The following is a 22640-nucleotide window of genomic DNA, read 5'->3' on the forward strand; positions in this document are numbered from 1 at the left end:
TAGGGCTTTATAACACTGAGGTGATACACATTATGTGTTTCTGAAGCCTCTAGAAGACTAGAGTTCACCCCTGAAATGACTTATAACAAAAGAATAAATAATGGCATTATTAAAAGGAAATTTATAAACATGAGGTTCAAGTAGTTCAAATAGTGGGATTGAGATAAAGAAAGCTAGATGCATATGTTCAGCCCCTCCATGGGGCTAGAACTGAAGGAAACTTTTAGAGAAAACTTCAGAAGCAGATCTTTGTCTTTATTTTTTCCTTTTATCATTGTTCTCTACATATCTAGTGCATGGAGACTATTTGTGACACTAGGTGCTCTTGTTCTCTGCCTTCTCTGGGGTTCCTGGAAGCCCTTCCTCACCTGTTCAGAATAGTCCAGCTCCTTCCCACCCTTGCACATCCCATTTAGTAGAGTGAAAGCCTGCATTGCCATCACTCAAGTAGGCCCTCAAGGGACCCACTCTGCCTCCAAGTGACTTTTCAATGTTTCCTTTGTGATATGGTTTGGCTGTGTCCCCACCCAAATGTCATCTTGAATTGTAGATCCCATAATTCCCATGTGTCATGGAAGGGATCCAGTGGGAGGTAATTGAATCATGGGGGTAGGTCTTTCCTATGCTGTTCTCATGATAGTAAATAAGTCTCGTGAGATCTGATGGTTTCATAAAGGGGAGTTCCCCTGCACATGCTCTCTTGCCTGCTGCCATGTAAGACGTGACTTTGCTCCTCATTCATCTCCCGCAATGGTTGAACTAACTTACATTCCTACCAACAGTGTACAAGCATTCCTATTTCTCCACAGCCTCACTAGCATCTGTTGTTTCTTGACTTTTTAATAATTGCCATTCTGACTGGTGTGAGATGGTATCTCATTGTGGTTTTGATTTGCATTTCTCTAATGATCAATGATGTTGAGCTTTTTTTCATGTTTCTTGGCCAATAGATGTCTTCTTTTGAGAAGTGTCTGTTCATATCCTTTGCCCACTTTTTGATGGGGTTGTTTGTCTAACTATTTTTTTACACTCATCAACCATACCCACCTCCCCCACCAGCCCTCCATTACCCTTGTCAGCCTCTGGTAACCATCCTTTTACTCTCTATGTCCGTGAGTTCAATTGTTTTTGATTTTTGTTTAGATCTCACAAATAAGTGAGAACATGAGGAGTTTGTCTTTCTGTGCCTAGCTTATTTCACTTAACATAATGATCTTCAGTTCCATCTATGTTGTTGCAAATGACAGGATCTCATTCTTTTTTACAGCTGAATAGTACTCCATTGGGCATATGTACCACATTTTCTTTTTCCTTTCATCTGTTGATGGACACTTAGGTTGTTTCCAAATCTTGGCTGTTGTGAACAATGCTGCAATAAACATGGGAGTGCAGATATCTCTACCATATACTGATTTCCTTTCTTTTGGGTATATATCCTGCAGTGGGATTGCTGGATCATGTGATAGCTCGATTTTTAGTTTTTTGAGGAACCTCCAAACTGTTCTTCATAGTAGTTGCACTAATTTACATTCCCACCAACAGTGTACCAGGGTTCTCTTTTCTCTACATCCTTGTCAGCATTTGTTATTGCCTGTCTTTTGGATATAAGCCATTTTAACTGGGGTGAGAGGATATCTCATTGTAGTTTTGATTTGCATTTCTCTGATGACTAAAGACGTTGAGCACCTTTTCATATGTCTGTTTGTCATTTGTATGTCATCTTCTGAGAAATGTCTATTCAGATCTTTTGCTCTTTTTGACTGGATTATTTGATTTTTTTTCCTATAGAGTTGTTTGAGATCCTTATATATTCTGGTTATGAATCTCTTGTCAGATGGATAGTTTGCAAATATTTTTTCCCATTCTGTGGGTTGTCTCTTCACTTTGCTGATTGTATCCTTTGCTGTGCAGAAGCTTTTTAACTTGTTATCCCATTTGCCCATTTTTGCTTTGGTTGCCTGTGCTTGTGGGGTATTGCTCAAGAAATTTTGGCCATAATAATATCCTGAAGATTTTCCCCATCCTATGATATTTTAATCCTCCTTAAAACTCAGTGCTCCAGGAAGCTTCCTGACTGACCAATGCCTGGGTCCAGTTATTTTATTTATTTATTTTGAGATGGAGTCTCGCTCTGTTTCCCAGGCTGGAGTTTGGTGGTGTGATCTTGGCTCACTGCAATCTCCACCTCCCAGGTTCAAGCGATTCTCCTGCCTCATCCTCCAGAGTAGCTGGGATTACAGGTGTGTGCTACCACACCTGGCTACTGGGTCTAGTTCTGATCACCTCCCACTGTTCCCTGTAAGTAAAGTGAACTTTTCCAAAGGAGGCATGTATTGAGCTGAATGGGTTAACTGATGCTGCAGTAACAAACAACCCTCACATTTCAGTACTTAAACTAATAAGGTTGTGATTGCCTCAAACTATATCCCTATGAAGGGAGAGAGCTGGGGGCCCTGCTCTCTGCTGTCCCCACCCTAGGAACTGGGCTGATAGAGTAACCACTGGCTGCTGACTGCTTCTGCAAAGGGACAGAGCGCATGGTGAATTAACACTGGCTCTTAAAGCTTCCTACTGGCGGTAACATCACTTTACTCACATTTCATTAGCCAAAGCAAGCCACGTGGCCATATCCCATTTCAAGGGGGAGGAATATAATAGACCTTATTATTGCCAGAATGTTTGCTGTCCCCACCTGTGGAAGGATTATAATTCTTTCCTCATTAACATCTGGCCTAGCCACATGACTTGCTTTGGCTACTGGTCTTCAAGTAGAAATGTGCCATGAGGGACTGACTGCTCCCTTAGCCTGAGTCCTGGAGATGATGGAACAGAGCAAAACTGATCCACATGGGAACACTGCATGAGTGAGAAAGAAGTCTTTGTAGTTATAAGCTCCTATGATTTGGGGATAGTTTGTTACTGCAGTATAACTTAACTTACACTGATGGCCTCAGTGGGGAAGTATAATTTTACCCCGTGATCAAGAGGAGACTTGGAAACGGCTAATGGGCAGCACTCATGACGAGCACATAGTGCCATTTGAATTGAAAACTGGAGAGAATAGCAGCTGGCTAGGCTGGAGGGAAAGGGTTTCTGAAAGAAGGACGCATGATTGCAGAGGTTTGGAACAGAGAGGGATGCAGTAAGTGGTGGGTATATGATAGGAAGGGTAGACTGGCAGGGACAGATGCCATCTGTTCTCTTGAGATTGACTGTTAGGTTTGGCCTGCATCAGACCCAGATCTAAGGTCACCTTTGAGATGACTTTTGTCAGTTCTGGTAGTAATTTGATTTGGATGAGGTCTTACCCCTCTCTGACCTTACAGATGCCTCTCTTAAACAGGCATAATAATAGTCACTTCTCAATGTTGTTGTGTGCTGAGACCAGTTCGGTCGGGGAGACCCTAACCCAGTGGCTCTAGAGGAATTAAAGACACACACACAGAAATATAGAGGTGTGAAGTGGGAAATCAGGGGTCTCACAGCCTTCAGAGCTGAGAGCCTCGAACAGAGATTTACCCACGTATTCATTAACAGCAAGCCAGTCATTAGCATTGTTTCTATAGATATTAGATTAACTAAAAGTATCCCTTATGGGAAACAAAGGAATGGGCCGAAATAAAGGGATGGGTTGGGCTAGTTATCTGCAGCAGGAGCATGTCCTTAAGGCACAGATCGCTCATGCAATTGTTTGTGGTTTAAGAATGCCTTTAAGCAGTTTTCCACCCTGGGTGGGCCAGGTGTTCCTTGCCCTCATTCTGGTAAACCCACAACCTTCCAGCGTGGGCATCATGGCCATCATGAACAAGTCACAGTGCTGCAGAGATTTTGTTCATGGCCAGTTTTGGGGCCAGTTTATGGCCAGATTTTGGGGGGCCTGTTCCCAACAGTTGTGAATACTATTCAATGAGTTAAGCACTGGTGGAAGAAGCCTGGGGTCTGGAATCAGACAGACCCATGTTTGAATCCTGGCTCTGCCACTTACTGACAACCATGGAAATTCTTCATTTTAAACATCTGTAAGCCTCTGATTTTTCATCTGTAAAATGGAGATGATGATTAGTGCTTCATGGGATTGTTATGAGGATGATAAGAAATAGTGAAATTATGCAATGCATAATTTATAAAGATTCCATATTCATTAATCCAACATGGGAGTCATAGAAATGTTGGACCTGGTTTATTTTTCTTCTGATCCTTGCTACAAAACAGATGATAGTTTTTATACATTTAAGGCAAAATAACATTGGCATCTTATTTTTGTGAAATATCTCCCTTAAGGTGAAGCTTCAGATATTGCACATAAAGAAGACCTTTAATAGCATAGTTAAAGAAAAACTGAAGTATTTTTTACTTTATTCACATGGCCATCCCAGGGCCTAAAGGGTCTAACCCCCATTGTTGGCTAGTCACCCTTGAATTCCAACTCCATGCTTAGTTCATAGGATCAAACTTGTTGCTTTGTTTGTAGTGATGTTCCAGAAGAAATGAGGATATAATCAGGCAGAATGAGCTGAAAACTATTTACCCACCAGAGCTCTGCACAAGCCGGTCACAGCCCTCTGAGAAAGATAGAGCTGTCAGAGCCATTTGCTAAGAACTTTCTGCTAACATGTGTATCAGGCAGATGAGGCCAGGAACAGTCCTCTAACCCCAGGGATTTCAATTAACACGGTTTAAACTAAGATCTTTACTTAGATTATCTCATTTAATCCTCAAAACAATGCTGGTATCAAACACTAACATATTAATTCCATTTTTCAGATGAGGAAATGGAGGATCAGGAAAGGTGACATAATTTTATTAGAAGCTGGGATTCAGAAGAAGAACACAATCTCTGCATTAAATAACTTATTAAGGTTTTATAGTCAAGGGAACTGAAACCTGAGTGGCTTATTCAGGCCACAATATCCTTTTAGTTAATCCCCAGGTGTCCTAACTCCCAGGAAGAGCTGAGTTTTATATTTATGAATATACACAAATTATAAATCAGGTGCCACCAAACCTGATGATCTTTCACAAGTGTGATCTCTTGTGTCACATCCAAGCTTAGAAAGTAATTCTTTTAAAGATACTTTAGTCAATTCTCTCTCTCTTTTTTTTTTTTTTTTTGAGATGGAGTCTTGCTCTGTCACCCAGGCTGGAGTGCAGTGGCATGATCTCTGCTCACTGCAACCTCTGTTCCCTGGGTTCAAGCGATTCTCCTGCCTTAGCTCCTCAAGTAGCTGGGACTACAGGTGTGCGCCACCACGCCTGGCTAATTTTTTTGTATTTTTAGTAGAGACAGGATTTTGCCATGTTGGCCAGGTTGGTCTCAAACTCCTGGCCTCAAGTGATCTGCCCTCCTCGGCCTCCCAAGGTGCTGGGATTACAGGCATGTGCCACTGCACCTGGCTGATTTTTTAAATCCCAGCACTTTGGGAGGCCTGGAATCCTAGCACTTTGGGAGACCAAGGCAGGTGGATTGTCTGAGCTCAGGAGTTCGAGATCAGCCTGGGCAACATGGTGAAACCCTGTCTCTACTAAAATACAAAAAATTAGATGGATGTGGTGGCGGGTCCCTGTAATCCCAGGTACTCAGGAGGCTGAGACAGGAGAATCGCTTGAACTCAAGAGGCAGAGATTGCAGTGAGCCGAGATCATGCCATTGCACTCCAGCCTGGGAGACTGAGTGAGACTCTGTCTCAAAAAATATATATATATATATAATATATATATTATATATATATAATATATATATTATATATATTATATATAATATATATATTATATATATTATATATATTATATATAATATATATATTATATATATATTATATATATTATATATAATATATATTATATATATTATATAATATATATAATATATATATTTTATATATATTATATATAATATATATATTTTATATATATTATATATAATACATGTATATATAATATATTTTATATATATTATATATAATACATGTATATATAATATATTTTATATATATTATATATAATACATGTATATATTATATATTTTATATATATATTTAACTTTTTTAATAAGAGAATAACTGGTGATCCTGGACCCCCCTGGATGGATGCAGAGATTGTGCAATCTGTTTTTTGTTTTGTTGTGTTTTGGTTTTTTTAATTTAATTTTTTTATTATTATACTTTAAGTTCTAGGGTACATGTGCATAACGTGCAGGTTTGTTACATATGCATACATGTGCCATGTTGGTGTGCTGCACCCATTAACTCGTCATTTACATTAGGTATATCTCCTAATGCTATCCCTCCCCACTCCGCCCACCACACAACAGGCTCCGGTGTGTGATGTTCCCCACCCTGTGTCCAAGTGCTCTCATTGTTCAATTCCCACCTATGAGTGAGAACATGCGGTGCTTGGTTTTTCGTCTTTGCAATAGTTTGCTGAGAATGATGGTTTCCAGCTTCATCCATGTCCCTACAAAGGACATGAACTCATCCTTTTTTATGGCTGCATAGTATTCCATGGTGTATATGTGCCACATTTTCTTAATCCAGTCTATCATTGATGGACATTTAGGTTGGTTCCAAGTCTTTGCTGTTGTGAATAGTGCCACAATAAACATACGTGTGCATGTGTCTTTATAGCAGCATGATTTATAATACTTTGGGTATATACCCAGTAATGGGATGGCTGGGTCAAACCATATTTCTAGTTCTAGATCCTTGAGGAATTGCCACACTGTCTTCTACAATGGTTGAACTAGTTTACAGTCCCCCCAACAGTGTAAAAGTGTTCCTATTTCTCCACATCCTCTCCAGCACCTGTTGTTTCCTGACTTTTTAATGATCACCATTCTAACTGGTGTGAGATGGTATCTCATTGTGGTTTTGATTTGCATTTCTCTGATGGCCAGTGATGATGAGCATTTTTTCATGTGTCTGTTGCCTGCATAAATGTCTTCTTTTGAGAAGTATCTGTTCATATCCTTTGCCCACTTGTTGATGGGGTTGTTTGTTTTTTTCTTGTAAATTTGTTCGAGTTCTTTGTAGATTCTGGATATTAGCCCTTTTTCAGACGAGTAGATTGCAAAAATTTTCTCCCATTCTGTAGGTTGCCTGTTCATTCTGATGGTAGTTTCTTTTGCTGTGTAGAAGCTCTTTAGTTTAATTAGATCCCATTTGTCAATTTTGGCTTTTGTTGCCATTGCTTTTGGTGTTTTAGACATGAAGTCCTTGCCCATGCCTATGTCCTGAATGGTATTGCCTAGGTTTTCTTCTAGGGTTTTTATGGTTTTAGGTCTAACATTTAAGTCTTTAATCCATCTTGAATTAATTTTAGTATAAGGTGTAAGGAAGGGATCCAGTTTCAGCTTTCTACATATGGCTAGCCAGTTTTCCCAGCACCATTTATTAAATAGGAAATCCTTTCCCCATTTCTTGTTTTTGTCAGGTTTGTCAAAGATCAGATGGTTGTAGATGTGTGGTATTATTTCTGAGGACTCTGTTCTGTTCCATTGGTCTATATCTCTGTTTTGGTACCAGTACCATGCTATTTTGGTTACTGTAGCCTTGTAGTATAGTTTGAAGTCAGGTAGCGTGATGCCTCCAGCTTTGTTCTTTTGGCTTAGGATTGTCTTGGCAATGCAGGCTCTTTTTTGGTTCCATGTGAACTTTAAAGTAGTTTTTTCCAATTCTGTGAAGAAAGTCATTGGTAGCTTGATGGGGATGGCATTGAATCTATAAATTACCTTGGGCAGTATGGCCATTTTCACGATATTGATTTTTCCTATCCATGAACATGGAATGTTCTTCCATTTGTTTGTATCCTCTTTTATTTCATTGAGCAGTTGTTTGTAGTTCTCCTTGAAGAGGTCCTTCACATCCCTTGTAAGTTGGATTCCAAGGTATTTTATTCTCTTTGAAGCAATTGTAAATGGGAGTTCACTCATGATTTGGCTCTCTGTTTGTCTGTTATTGGTGTATAAGAATGCTTGTGATTTTTGCACATTGATTTTGTATCCTGAGACTTTGCTGAAGTTGCTTATCAGCTTAAGGAGATTTTGGGCTGAGACGATGGAGTTTTCTAAATATACAATCATGTCATGTGCAAACAGGGACAATTTGACTCCCTCTTTTCCTAATGAATACCCTTTATTTCTTCCTCCTGCCCGATTGCCCTGGCCAGAACTTCCAACACTATGTTGAATAAGAGTGGTGAGAGAGGGCGTCCCTGTCTTGTGCCAGTTTTCAAAGGGAGTGCTTCCAGTTTTTGCCCATTCAGTATGATATTGGCTGTGGGTTTGTCATAAATAGCTCTTATTATTTTGAGATATGTCCCATCAATACCTAATTTATTGAGAGTTTTTAGCATGAAAGGCTGTTGAATTTTGTCAAAGGCCTTTTCTGCATCTATTGAGATAATCATGTGGTTTTTGTCTTTGGTTCTGTTTATATGCTGGATTACTTTTATTGATTTGCATATGTTGAACCAGCCTTGCATCCGAGGGATGAAGCCCACTTGATCATTAAAAATATGGAACGCTTCACGAATTTGCGTGTCATCCCTGTGCAGGGGCCATGATAATCTTCTCTGTATCGTTCCAATTTTAGTGTATGTGCTGCCGAAGCGAGCACACAATCTGTTTTTTTAAACAACTTTGTTGAGATATGATTCATATACCATAAAATTTGACCTCTCAAAGCATACAATTCAGTGGTTTTTAGCATGTTTGCCAAGTCGAGCAGCCATCATCTCTATCTAATTGCAGAATATTTTCACCACCGCAGAAGGAAACCCTGTCCCCACTAGCAGGCCCTCCCCATTCCTCTCTCCCCTTTCCCCAGTCATAGGCAACCACAAATCTACTCTCTGTCTCTGTGGACTTGTATATTCTGGATATTTTATATAAATGGAATCATATGATCATATATATATTTATTTATTTAACTTTTTAAACCATTTCACTTTTATTCTATTGAGAAGTGAGGTTCCAAACAGACTTTACTTTCCAAACTGTTTACCTATTGTCCCAGCACCACTTCTCTGTCCCCTTCACCTTCTTTGGTGATTGGTGATATGTTCCAGTTTTTGCTATCAGCTCTGCTTCTGGGCCCTCAATTCTGCCCCATTGATGTTTCTGTTCAGGATACCTACAGGGTGTGAAGTCAGATAGGAGTTGATCTAAATCCCAGATCTCATATGTTAGCTGTGACATCCATTTATTAATTTATCCTACAAATATTTACTGAATTCTGTGCCAAGGCTTTTTTTTTTTTTTTTTTTGAGACATGGTATCTATTGCCCAGGCTGGAGTGCTGGAGTGAAGTGGCATGATCACAGCTCACTGCAGCCCCAACCTCCTGGGCTCAAGCCATCCTCCTGCTCAGTCTCCCAAGTAGCTGGGACCACAGGCGTGTGCCACCACAGCCAGCTAATTTTTGTATTTTTTTGTAGAGACAGGGTTTTGCCATGTTGCCCAGGCTGGTCTCCAACTACTGGGCTCAATCTATCCACCCACCTTGGCCTCCCGAAGTGTTGAGATTACAGGCATGAGTCACCACGCCCCGGCCCAAGTCTTAACCTAGGCACTGGGGACCCAGCAATGCAGATTTGGTCCCTGTTTTAAGCAGAGGGACCAATACAATCTGGCAGGGAAAGTTCCTATGGATAGAAACACAGACACAAACAGCAGCGGTGAGAGTGAGGCAGTTTGTATATATTTTCTTTTTATATCTTAATCTTCATAACTGGCCTTAAGGCCCCATTTTCCAGATGAAAAAACTGAGGTTCAGAGCAGTCAACTAACTTGCCTGTCGCAAATTCATTGCGAGTGGCACACCAGGCTTGGTAAGTGGTAAACAAGGCTGATGTCGAGCCCTTGGGATTAAGCCCTCTGCTATACCAAGGAGAAAGGGCCATAGAGGGCCAGTGAGCGAGAGGCAGGCCGGGAGAAAGGAAGAACAGCTGGTCCAAGGTCTCAGAACAGGTTCGTTTCTGGGGAAAGACCCCTATCTCTGCTGCCCCAGGCAGAAGAAGACTTGGGCCCTTTGAAAGGAAAATAAAGCCTCGGGATCCCCAAATCACTAAGCCAAGGGAAAAATCAGGCTGGGAACTATGTCAGGCAAACCCACCTCCCATTTTATTCCTAAATAAGATAGCTACATACCTCCCTCACAAACTGCCCACAAGAAAATTCGTTGTGGGCCTCAAGGTCTTTATCCTAAAACAGTTCTGTTGAATTTCACCCTGGCAATGTAAACTAATAGCTGATCTTCAGAGGTGCAGACAGAAAGTCATCCTTCTGCTCACCTGAGACAAATGCATATCTGATTGTTTCCTCTGCCCTATTGTTTACGTAAAAATGCAGATTCACTGAGTCAGATTAAATTGTGTATTCAGTGGAAGGCTGATCAAGGACTCAATGCAATCTTTCATCTCTTATCAACCTTTTGTCTCTTATGACCTGGAAGCACCCCTGCCGCCTTCAAGCTGTCCCACATTGCCAGACTGAACCAATGTACATCTTACACATATTGATTGATGTCTCCTGGCTCCCTATGAATCAAAGCAAGCTGTACCCCGACCACCTTAGGCACATGTCAGGACCTCCTGAGGCTGTGTGATGGGTGCATCCTTAAGCTTGACAAAATAAACTTTCTACATTGACTGAGATCTGTCTCAGATATTTGGGGTTCACAGCCCTGTCATCTCTGCCCTCCTCCCCACCTCCTGCCCTGGGCATGGCTGGCAGACAAAAACCTGGAGAGCAGCCCACTCCCTGTTGATTGTCCTTCACTGGAACAGGCAGAGGAGGTTCTGGGTCACAGCACAGAGGTGGGGTGTAAGCCTGCAGGAGATTACAGCTGATCCCTGCAGTGGGGCTGCCCCAAGGTGGTGGCTTCAGCCTGGGAGGGCCAGAAGAGCTCAGGTGAGACCTCAGCAGTCCACGTGGAGAGGGAGGGAGGGGAGAGGGTGGGGAGATGACTAGACCCTGAGTGACGCACACAGGCTCCCACTTCCATTCGAAGACACTTCCAGTGAGATGCTTAAATCTGCAGTGGAGGGCAAGAGACACGACCCCAGGAGACAGCAACTGGTCTCTGAGGCGGTGGAACCAGCTCCCTGTTGGAGTCTGAGGCCTTGGTCCTACTCCCAGTTTCACTCCTGGTTTGCTGAATGATCTGGAGATCTCTGGGCCCCACGGCTTTCCATCTGCAGAGCGGAAAGAGTGGATGGGAAGTTTCTAGGTTCCCTCCACTTCTCATCATTGCCGGCATTCGCTTATAACAGGGGTCGGACTCCTCTCTGTGCACCTGTCCTGCGGGCAGACCTAGGAAGGTACATTTTTCTGGCTGGGAGATTTGGGCTGAGCAGTCCAGGGTGGCCGAGGTTTAGAGGGGACAGCTAGGAAGTACTTCCCCTATCCCTTAAGATCTGGGCTGGACTCTGCTCTTCCCATAGGGATCTACCTGAAGCCCAGGAACACCGGAGATCTGACTCCTGAAACTGCCTTTGCAAAATTAAAACACTGAGAGAAATCTAACACAGCTGACTCCATATTGCTGCTTTTTTTAAAAAAAAATTAGCTTTTGGTGTACAAGTGTTTTTTTGTTTTGTTTTGTTTTGTTTTTGTTTTTTGTTACATGGATGAATTATACAGTGGTGAATTCTGAGGCTTTAGTGCACCCATCATCTGAGTAGGGTTAATTGTACCTAATGTGTAGTTTTTTTTAATCTCTAGCACCCCTCCAGCCTCCCCCTTCTGAGTCTTTGAAATCCATTATATTACTCTGTTTGTCTTTGTATATTCATAGCTTAGCTCCCACTAGTAAGTGAGAACATACGGTTTTGGGTTTTCCACTCCTGTGTTACCTCACTTAGAATACTGGCCTCCAGGCTGGGCACAGTGGCTCATGCCTGTAATCCCAGCATTTTGGGAGGCCAAGGTGGGCAGATCACTTGAGGTCAGGAGTTGGAGACCAGCCTGGCCAACATGGCAAAACCCTGTGCCTACTAAAAATACAAAAACTAGCCAGGTGCGGTGGCAGGTGCCTGTAGTCCCAGCTACTAGGGAGGCTGAGGCAGAAGAATTGCTTGAACCTGGGAGGTGGAGGTTGCAGCGAGCCGAGATTGCGCCACTGCACTCCAGCCTGGGCGACAGAGCAAGACTCCATCTTAAAAACAAAACAAACAAACAAAAACACACAAAAGACTTATTTGGGAGCTCTGGCTCCCAGGGCCTGTGGGGAGTGGGGAGCTGGGGGCTGGGAGGAGGCTGGGTCATGAGAGCAAGTCTTTTCCAGGATGCCAGGACCATGCCCGGTAGAGGGCTCAGTTGGAGTTTCAGGGATGAGCACCTGCCTCGGGGGCCTGAAGGAAGCCCATGGAAGGCCATGGCCAAAGAAGCTCATCGCCCTGGGGCCAGAAGAATCTGCCCAGCAGATGGTCCTGTGGAGGATCCAGGAGCTTTCTGACTGAGTATGGAGGGAGGTGAGAGACGGGGAGTTGTGAGCCTCAGGTCTTCCTTAGTGGCAAGAAATAAGGCTTTCTGTTTCACCGTTCTGTAACGCCATTAGGCCGTCTCTCTCAAGGCTCTCTTGTTCTGGGGCTAATGGGAAAGCATGACTTTTGTTCTTCCTGCCCTGCCTGCTTCCACCACTGGGGGTTTTACCCAGTGCCAAGCTGTGGGGTCCTCCAGCTTTGGTCTACAAAGATGATTGCCTGCTTGTCCTCCTGGCTTCCCTGGCTCCCTGGGTTTTTAGGGCTGTGCTGCCTCTGGACATATTCTCGTCTGGACCTGATTGTCACCATCACTGGAGAACCTGTTGGCAGTGCAGACTCTTTGTCCACCCTAGACTGACTGCATGGAGCACACAGTTGACAGGATCCTGGGGGATTTGCCTGCACATGAAGGCTGGGAAGGCCTGCTCTAGACTCACCCGGTGACTTACCATTTCCCCACTGGCTTCCAGGGGCTCCATCCTACCACCCCTCAGATTCCCTTAGGGCACAAAGTCTCAGCTCTCTTACCATCTTCACCACCCCATCCCCGCCAGTCAGGGGACCCTCTTCCTGGTCAGGGAGGGCCTTCTATCGGTGTCACCATGACATTCTTCTTGTACCCTGGCATCCTCTTCTCCCAAGGGCTAAGCTTCCCTAAGAAGGCCGCCTCCTGCCTGGCCACATCTGCCTCCTGCCTGGCCACATCTCTCCCCAGGGACATTATAGAGCCAGACACTGGCATCAATAAGGGGGAGAAGAAGAGAGAAAATTAGAAGAAAAAAATAGATATCTCGAAAATATCCTGGCCTACAGGTGTTCCTGAAGCCATTTCCTTTTGGGATTGAATGTCAACTGTGCTGCTGTCCAGCAGTAAGAACTTGGGTGAGGCACTCCAGCCCTCTGCACCTCAGTGACTGCATCTGTGCAATGGGAATGATTTATATAGTATCTCCATCCCTTCCCCCAGCACAGTGTGTGGCTCATGACAGTTGATTAATCAGCTCATGCTGCCTGAGTCCATGCCTTTTTCTCTGTGGCTCAGTTGGATGGAAGCTCCACAAAGACGAGGATTTTTGATCTGTTTTCTTCACTGCTCTTTCCCCAGTACCCAGACTAGAGCCTGGCACAGAGTAGGTGCTGGATAACCCTGTTGAATGACTGTAGAACAAATAGCCTGGAGCTGCCCCAGCCCAGCAGGCTCCTCTCTCCTACCCAGGACCGTGGCAAGGCAGAATGGAACAGTGTCAAGGGCGGTCTCCCTAGGCTTAGGAGACCTGGGTTCAGACCCTGTCTTTGCCATGCTTTTGCTATAGGACTTTGAGCCAGTGACCACCTTTTTGAGCCTTTGCTTCCCCATCTGCAAAATGGGGATAACAGCAGCCTTTACTTCATAGAGCTGTTATGAGGATTAAGTGAGATAATCCAGCCCCTCAGCCTTTCCTCCCTGTCTCCCTGCCCCGTAGGACCAGCAAGACCCCTTCATACTGGCTGACCTGGACATACTGGCCAGCTGCCATCAGGCCTTCTGCCAAGCCCTGCCACAGGTCTCGCCCTTCTATGCAGTGAAGTGCAACAGTAGCCCTTGGGTGCTGCGTGTCCTGGCCGCCCTGGGCACCGGCTTTGACTGTGCCAGCCAGGTAAGCCTGTGCCCACCGAGGATTAGGCCAGGCCAGCTGGAAGGGGGTGAATCCCATGCTGCTGCTGCTGAGGTCATGAATAAGCGTCCCCTGTCCCGCAGAGCACTTGAAATATGCTAAGCACACTGCAGGGGGCCTAACATGCATTCTCCTTGATCCTCCCATCGGCTCTGCAAGGTAGTCAGGGGATCCACATTCATAGAGGAGGAGACAGCCTTAGGGAGATCACTTGCCCATGGGCCAACATATGGTAAGAGACAGAGATGACCGATCCAAAGTTGGCATTTTTTTCTTACGCCAGGGGTGAAACATTCCAAGGGGTTCTTAGCAGAAGGGGATTCAGCAATGTTGAGGGAGGTTAGAGCCGAAGCTCAAGGGTGGGAAGGGGGAGAACTCAGGATGGGAGTATTTTGCTGAGCCTCTGTCCTTCCTTCCTTTCTTTTTAAGACTAGTCAAGTGTAGTAGTGAGAAGTGGGAAAGAAGAGTAGAACAAGGAGTTCATCTGTAACTGACTGTTAACAGTCAATTGAGATAACTCACTGCCTTCGGACCAGCCCTTCCTCCCTTTCTGAGGAGCCCTCCACTAAGCAGGATTAAGTGCACCCGCTGCCTCTAGGAAGCCAGCCCATCTCCTCTCTATGGGGCTGAAATTGATGGGAGGGGGGTTGGTTCTAAACTGAGACTATGAGCACCTGGAGTGCCCGGCACATTGAGACTATGAGCCCTGCCCTGCCCTTCCCTGCCCTGCAGGGACTCCATAATGAGCACCCCGTCAGCCCCACGCAGGGCTCCTGCCTGGAAGTGAGGGAGCAGGGGGTGAGACCCAACCCGGGGTTTCATCAGGGCAGCCTCTTTGGCTCATGCACAGTGTTTCTGTCCCCACATAGCTGGGGTGGGGGCAGTGATGCAGCCCCCAACCCTGGCTCTTGGCCACCCCAGGTGGAACTGGAGCAGGTGCTGGGCCTGGGTGTGGCCCCCTCGCGCATCGTCTATGCCAACCCCTGCAAACCTGCCTCCCACATCCGGTATGCTGCCCAGCACGGGGTGCAGCTCCTGACCTTTGACAGCGAGGAGGAGCTCACCAAGGTGGCCCAGCACCACCCCAGGGCCAGGTGAGTCCAGCAGGGATGCAGGCAGCTAGGGTGAGGGTCAGCAGTAAAGAACGAATCACCCAACACAGCACACCCCTGACAAATGCTGATCTGAGACAAGTGAAGGGGAGGACCCTCAAGGCCCAGCCATTTTAAAAGGGTCTGGCAGCTGCCTTTGGAGTGAGACAGCCCAGGTTCAAATTCTGGCATTGTTGCTTACCTGATGTATGCATTGGGCAAGTTTTTTGTTTTTTGTTTTTTTTTTTTTTTTTTGAGACGGAGTCTCTCTCTGTTGCCCGGGCTGGAGTGCAGTGGCGCGATCTTGGCTCACTGCAACCTCTGCCTCCCGTGTTCATGCCATTCTCCTGCCTCAGCCTCCTGAGTAGCTGGGATTACTGGCGCGTGCCACCATGCCTGGCTAATTTTTGTATATTTAGTAGAGACAGGGCTTCACCATGTTAGTCAGGCTAGTCTTGAACTCCTAACCTTGTGATCCGCCTGCCTTGGCCTCCCAAAGTACTGGGATTACAGGTGTGAGCCACCGTGCCCAGCCAAGTCTCTTTTTTTTGAGACAGAGTTTTTCTCTTGTTGCTCAGACTGGAGTGCGTGGTGCAATCTCAGGTCACCACAACCTCCACCTCCTGGGTTCAAGTGATTCTCCTGCCTCTGCCTCCGGAGTAGCTGGGATTACAGGCTCCTGCCACCACATCTGGCTAATTTTTTGTATTTTTAGTAGAGATGGGGTTTCACTATGTTGGCCAGGCTGGTCTCGAACTCCTGACCTCAGGTGATCCACCCGCCTCAGCCTCCAAATGTTCTGGAATTACAGGCTTGAGCCATCGTGCCCCGCCTGGGCAAGTCTCTTTTAACATTTTTAACACTCGGTTCCTTCATTTACAACTTGGGGGCATGTTGTCTGGCACATAGTAGGTGCTTACCAATACTATCATTTTTCTACCCTCCCTTCTCTGGTTGTACCTGGGGAAGAGTAGATGTATACACACGTGTGTTGGGCTGGTGTGATGGCCGCATGGATTTGGTGGCATTGGAAAACCTCCCAGATGCGGGGATCAGCTGGGCCTGGGTGGGGGTGGTATAAGAAGCCCTGGGCTCTTTGGCATCTCTGGCTAAGTGCTCTCTGCCTCCTCCCTATCCTTGGTGTCCCTCCTCCGGACTGCTCCTCCGGCTGAGGACCCAGGACAGTCAGAGCACCTTCCCTCTGAGCACCAAGTTCGGGGCCAGCCTGGAAGCCTGTGGGCACCTGCTCACGTCTGCCAGAGACCTGGGGTTGGCCGTGGTCGGAGCCAGGTGAGTGACGCCTGAGGACTCCAGGAGCCCTGGGTTCTGGTCCTTCCCTTGCTGTGGATAACTGCGACAGAGACAGCGAGACACAGTCACACATAAGGCACGAAACCACTGGGGCCAAATGCAGAAACAAACAGCTGGAAATATAACTGACTACACTGGCATAAGTGTAATCAGTTGGGGCCCATGGCAAGCTGTGGCCCCTCTCTGGGCCTGTGAGACCCCATCTGTCTAAAGGGGCAGGATATGATGTGAAGGTTACTCAGGGCCTCCCTGCTCTGAGGCCCTGGGGTTTGGTGTCTTGTTGTGAAGTGTCCATGAGGGGAAGGGCAGCCCACGTGGCAGTGCTGGGATCATGGGCTCCATGGCAGTGTGTGTCTAAGTGTGTGTACGTGTGAATACTCAGGGTGAGTGCCCCTTCGTAGGTGCCTCGTTGGCCTGAGTGTGCAGCTGTCTGAAAGCACACACTTATGCCAGTGTAATCAGTTATGTTTCCGCTCTTTGTTTCTGCATTTGGCCCAATGGCTTCATGCCTTATGTGTGACTGTGCCTCTCTGTCTCTGTTGCGGTTATCCACAGTCTGTGTGGCTTTGTGGTTTGGAACATGTGTTTCAGTACATATCTCTCACCATGTCACATGCACTGGCTCTGCTAGCTTCCACCTGGGCTCCAACTGCCAGACCCCCCCAGAGCTTCACACAAGCTATCGCTGACTGCCGGTGCATGTTGGAAATGGGCCACAGGGCTGGGCATGATATGAGCTGCCTGGACATTGGAGGGGGCTTCCCCGGAATGGAGGGCTCCGGGCCCAAGTTTGAGGAGGTGAGCTGGTACGGGCGCTGGGGGTGTTCAGGGAGGTCCGCATGTGTGCCCAGGCATGGGTGTGTGTGGGGAGTCTGTGTTCATGCATGTACCTCTGTGTGTTTAGGTCTCTCTGGTGTATCTCTGTGCTCTGTGTGCACAGGTGGGTATGTGTGTATGTGCATGTCTTGGCTTTGATATCCCCCAAAAGCAGACTCTGAGACAAACACTTGGATACAAGTAGTTTTTTTGGAGATGATCCGTGGAAGCGCCAATGAGGAAGTCAGGAAAGAGAGATAGAAGGGAGAAAAGTCAAAAGAAAATTCATCTATGAGCTGGTTACCACTGTGGGCCGCTGCACCAGTCCCCCTGGGGACAATGTAGAACCTCAGAATCATCCCACTAGAGGACATGGGGCTGGTCCTTTATTCACCAACTCCTGTCCTTCTTTGGTTGAAGGCTGTGGTCTGGGGGTGTTAATTTCCTCACATTCCAGCTAGTTTCCGAGGGTGCTGGAGAAAGCCCACAGAATGAGAAGCAAAGGGAGGCAGGCGCTGGAGGCTGGAAATCATTTTGCACGGGCAGATGAGCTCAGGTAGGCTGAGGGGAGGTGGCACAGGGTGTCCACTGCAGCTGCAGCAAGGTGTCTGGGGGCTGTGCCTCTCTGTGTGTCTGTGTGTCTGTATGTGTATATGTTTTCCTGTAGAATGTAGAATTCTTGTTAGCATCACCAATACAGTTACAGTTACAGTTGGGAGTTTACATTCCCTGGGTCCACAAGACACTCGCCTTCTTACGGTGCATCAGATTAAATTGCTGCACCTTTGGACTTCTCAGGGAGCCTGGTGGCCAGCAACCCCACACAAGTGACCTCCTGTCTCTCAACTTCTGTTTCCTCTTTGGTAAACAGGGATAATTCTAATGCCTACCTGCAGGGTGCCTCGGGGATGAAAGGACTGATGCAGGTAAGGCGTTGGCACAGGCGCTGGCACATCAACACGTGCTGGATGAGTTAACCTCTTCCTGCTGTCCCTCCACCCCATTCCAGTTGGCGAGAGTGATCAGTGCTGCCCTGGCCCAGGACCTCCCTGAGGAGCGTGGTGTCAAGGTCATCGCAGAGCCTGGCTGCTTCTATGTGGAGTCTGTCTGCATGGCCGCTGTCAACATCATTGCCAAGAGGGCTGTGCTGGAGCCCGGTGGGTGGGCCAGGATGGCACTGGGTGGGGATGCCACTGTCCAGGTGTCCCCAGGCCCTGGAGGAGAGGAAGGGCAGAGGGTTGGGCTCTGTCCCAGGAGCTGGGGGTCAGAGTAGTGACTGAGCACTCCCCAGGAGGCAGCCGGAAGCTGGTGTATTATCTCAAAGATGGCCACTATGGCTCCTTCCGCCTCTGCTACCGAGAGCCTGTCCCAAGGGTTCCCATCGTGGTGAAGGTAAGGGGGCCACTCCAGCCCCGAGTCTAGTCCCTTACCTTGAGGTGCCTTGTGCCTCCCCTACTGGGAACAGTGGCTGTGCTGGACCCCAGAGGCAGGTCCTGGCCTGCTGCTTAGAACACATGTGGACACGTACATGATGTGTGCTCACAGATCAGAGCGTGTGCAGCAGCTGGATATGTAGGCCTCCTCAGGCAAAGGGGCGATCACCAGAACACAAAGGCGTGGGTTGTTTTCCAAAATATTGAAGTTCTTCTCCCTGGTGGCTTAAGAGCCATTCCTTCTTCCTGGTGGTTAAAGAGCTATTCCCCCGAGTCCACCAGGGGCCTCCCTGCCGACACTCTTGCTGCTCAGTCCCTCCCACGATCTGGCAACAAAGCTTCAATACCTGACCCTGTAGGGCCAACAGGATCTTCCTCCAGCTCTGCAGCAGTTGTCTCCTAATGTGATGGGTTGGTGTCCGGGCCACACTGCTTTGTAAATATCTTGACTGTTTCTCCCGGCCAGTGAACGTCTTGGTGTGTGCACACATTTGGTCATGTATGTGACGTGTGTTTGCATGCATGTGCGAGTGTGTACGTGTGTGAAGTGTTTCTGGGTGTGTGTCTTCGTGTGTGTATTTGCCTCTCTTCTCATCGGAAGGAGTGAGTTCTGGATGTGGAGGAACCAGTAGGAGACCCTGTGTTTGTTTGGTTCCCACAATAGTTTTCAATTTTAGTTGCCCATATTAAAAAATCTAGACATATTTCATAAAAGCCTGGATTTTCTCAGCTCCTCTCAAACATTTGAGAGATCTGATGATACGTGGCCTGCAGAACAACAAGGCAACAAATAATTCAACAAATTAGTCTAGCATGTCAGGCACTGTGATCTGCTGGAACGGGACTTCCTCAGTGGCTTTCCCCTTTGGACAGACATTGACTTTCCAGTTTGTTGTAAGACTTACCTGGCCCATTTCACTCATTTGTGTTACCTGCTTGACCTCTAGGTAATTGAGTTTTCAACTGCTGCCTTATAGCAATTATTGAAGACAACAGCCCCACTTACAGAGGAGGAATCTGAGCCCTTACTTGTAGGCACATCAGACCTGGCCAGGCTGGGCAGGGGCCATGGAGGGATGGGTCCCAGCCAGTATACACCCGTGTGCCCCTGGGAGTGTCCTTCCGGGTCTTTCAGTGCCTTCCAGATAAGGGGGTGGGATAGGCCAGCCTGCTGTCTTTTCTGACCCCCTTTCCTATGTCACACAGGAGTTCTGCTCAGAGCCGCCCCTCTTCCCCTGCACCCTCTATGTCCCATGTGCGATGCCTTTGACAGGCTCTTCTTGGAGGATGTGCGGCTGCCCGAGCTGGATGTAGGCGATTGGCTGGTCTTCCCCTCCATGGGTGCCTACATGTCCTCCATGAGCTCCAGCTTCAATGGCTTCCTGCCTGCCACCATCTGCTACACCATGGGCCCCCAGCTCAGGTGCCTAGGGGTTGGGGTTGAAGAGGAAGCAGGAAACCTCACACTCATTTGAGCTTGGGGTGGGAACTGGCCCCAGGGAATCTCCCTTCCCCTGTTGACTCACTGAAGTCAAAGTGTCCATCTGACCTTTGGACTCTCATCTGCCTCTGGCCCCCCTCCCAGGGAGGTGGAGAATTGCAAAGAGATCCCCAGGCCCTCTAGCCACTGGCTGGCCCTACTCCTGCTTCAGACGCCCACTGTCCCAGCTCTGCCTCCAGGCCCCAGCTCTGCTGCTGTGTGTGCAGCCTCAGGGCTGTAGGCAAAGGCCTTGACACCCACCCTGTACCCCATGTCCTTTCCCCATGAGCCTTCTGGAGGCAGAGCCTTAACCCAGAGCCAGCTAGGCTGGAGGGCTTTAAGACACTCTGGTAGGTAGGCCCCTGGGAACTGTTGGGAGTTGGGATGGCAGGGAGGAGGCAGAGGTTTGGGTAACTATGAAATCCTATGCAGACCTTCCAAAAATATCTTGCTGTCATTTTGGGTCAGTTCTTTCCTTTTCTCTTTTCATTTCTTTTCTTTTCTTTTTTCTTTTCTTTCTTTCATTTTCCTTTCCTTTCCATTCCTTTCCTTTTTTCTTTCTCTTCTTTCTTTCCTCCCTCCCTTCCTCCATTCCCTTTCTCTTTCTTTCCTCTCTTTTTGAGACAGAGTCTTACTCTGTCGCCCAGGCTGGAGTGCTGTGGCATGATCTCGGGTCACTACAGCCTCGACCCCTCAGGGCTCAGGTGATCCTCCCACCTCAGCCTCCTGAATAGCTGGGACTATAGGTGTGTACCACCACACCCGGCTAATTTTTATATTTTTGGTAGAGATGGAGTTTTGCCATGTTGCCCAGGCTGGTCTCGAACTTCTGGGCTCAAGCAATCCGCCTGCCTCAACCTCCCAAAGTGCCGGCATTACAGGTGTGAGCCACCGCATGCCTGTGTCTTCGGTCAGGTCTTACACTGACTTTTCTCAGCAGTGGCCTGCCCTGCCCACCCTCCTTGTCATTTGCCTCTGCATCCCTCCTTTCCCACTCTCTTGAGCAGTGGTTGAAGGGGACGCATTAGAAGCTACTTCTTCTCAGAGCGACTACAAAAAATGGGCTATTGATCTTTTACGTTAAATAATGCAGCCCACACACCTGCTCAGTTCATACCTAGCTGGTGTCAGTTTACATCCTTAAATTCATCCTGCCGCTCCTCCCCGCTTTTTATTTATTCATGCCCTTGCCTTGTCCCAGAAAGCGTTTCTATAAAATTCATCAACATATCATAGTGGTTAAGAGCATGTCACTGGAATAAGGAAGAACTGGGCTCAAATTTAGGCACCACTGCTACTAGCTTTGAATTTGGGCAGGTTAACTAACATAGTTGAACTCTAGTTTTCCTTGTAAAATAGTGGTAATAATAATAACTTTAACTTCCCCGTAGGGTTGTTGGGATTAAGAGAGGGATGAATATATCGTTTAGGGCCAGCTTTTCCTTCGGCCACCCTGTTCTTGCTGGCTCTCCTCCTGGAGTCTAGATGTCACAGAGACCCCACCGTGCATCCTGGGTCTTTTCAGAGAGTGTTGGTAGGGTGTCCCACTCAGGCCAAGCCAGGATGTGTGCCCGATGCTAGGGGGACAGGGGAGGCAGGCACAGACCCAGTCTTTGAGTTGTCCTCAGGCCTGTGGAAAGCTAAAGGCAGGCGCAGCTGGCTGCAGCACAGGGAGGAACATGGGACATACTTTGAGGACAGTTCAGGTGGAAGCCATCCATTTGGAGGAGTGGGTGGCTTCTTGGAGGGAGAATGGTGGGACCTGGAGGCAGAGCAGAATCAGTAGGTAAAAGTGGGTAGGAAGCGTGGCTCAGGTGTGGGAACAACTTGGCTCAGGCATGGGAATGAGCCTCTGCTCAGAGAACAGTGAGTGGCCAGGATTGGAGATGAGAAACAGAGATTGCAGAGCCTGGGGACACAAGGTGACCAGTTTGCCTGGATTTGTCTGGAACATTCCTGGTGCTAGCACTGTAAATCCTGAGTCCTAGGAAGCTCCTGAGTCTCAGGCAAACCAGATGGTTGGGGAGGGAGAGGAGGGAGGGGAGGAGCTCGTCACACCCCAAGGCCACATTCCTGCAGCTATAGCAGGTACAGCCATTGATTTCTCAGCTTCCAGCTCAGCCAAGGAAGGTGTCTCCCCTCCCTTCAGCAGGGCCTCTCCCACCCTCTCTGCTACCACTCAACTCAGCCAGGTCCTCGGGGATCCCAGAGTCCCTGGAGCTGAAGAGGAACTTCCCCTGACATGTGGGAAGCAAAGAGCAGATTGGGGTAACAGAGGCCACTCAGAGAAGCTAGAGGAGCTCAACAGCCCATCCAGTCAGGTGCATCTCATGAGGGCATCCCAGAACATCAAATTTCCCGCCTGCAAAATGGT

The 22640-nt window shown here is 47.3% G+C and overlaps 2 pseudogenes across 1 annotated transcript, besides 3 other annotated features; one reads left to right on the top strand and one right to left on the bottom strand.

Moving 5' to 3' along the window:
• RNU6-40P (RNA, U6 small nuclear 40, pseudogene) lies at positions 8507–8612 on the bottom strand (annotated as a pseudogene).
• On the top strand, positions 11014–19495 carry LDC1P (leucine decarboxylase 1, pseudogene; annotated as a pseudogene). Its single transcript, NR_034112.2, has 8 exons — positions 11014–11316; positions 12282–12468; positions 13944–14117; positions 15057–15229; positions 16407–16516; positions 17169–17335; positions 18363–18510; positions 18645–19495. The product of NR_034112.2 is annotated as a leucine decarboxylase 1, pseudogene (transcript).
• Positions 17962–19161: an enhancer, noted in NCBI's record as "CDK7 strongly-dependent group 2 enhancer chr1:31972634-31973833 (GRCh37/hg19 assembly coordinates)". NCBI's record gives its function as "activates an origin of replication core promoter dependent on BRD2, BRD4, P300/CBP, MED14 and CDK7 cofactors, with strong dependence on CDK7, by STARR-seq in HCT116 cells {active_cell/tissue: HCT116}" and the evidence as "EXISTENCE:reporter gene assay evidence [ECO:0000049][PMID:35650434]".
• Positions 18579–19078: an enhancer, noted in NCBI's record as "H3K4me1 hESC enhancer chr1:31973251-31973750 (GRCh37/hg19 assembly coordinates)". NCBI's record gives its function as "activates a minimal SCP1, AML or CMV promoter by ChIP-STARR-seq in naive H9 embryonic stem cells {active_cell/tissue: H9 hESC(naive)}" and the evidence as "EXISTENCE:reporter gene assay evidence [ECO:0000049][PMID:30033119]".
• Positions 20400–20529: an enhancer, noted in NCBI's record as "active region_643". NCBI's record gives its function as "activates an Ori minimal core promoter by ATAC-STARR-seq in GM12878 lymphoblastoid cells {active_cell/tissue: GM12878}" and the evidence as "EXISTENCE:reporter gene assay evidence [ECO:0000049][PMID:35858748]".

Source organism: Homo sapiens, chromosome 1, assembly GCF_000001405.40.
Source record: "Homo sapiens chromosome 1, GRCh38.p14 Primary Assembly".
Lineage (NCBI taxonomy): Eukaryota > Metazoa > Chordata > Mammalia > Primates > Hominidae > Homo > Homo sapiens.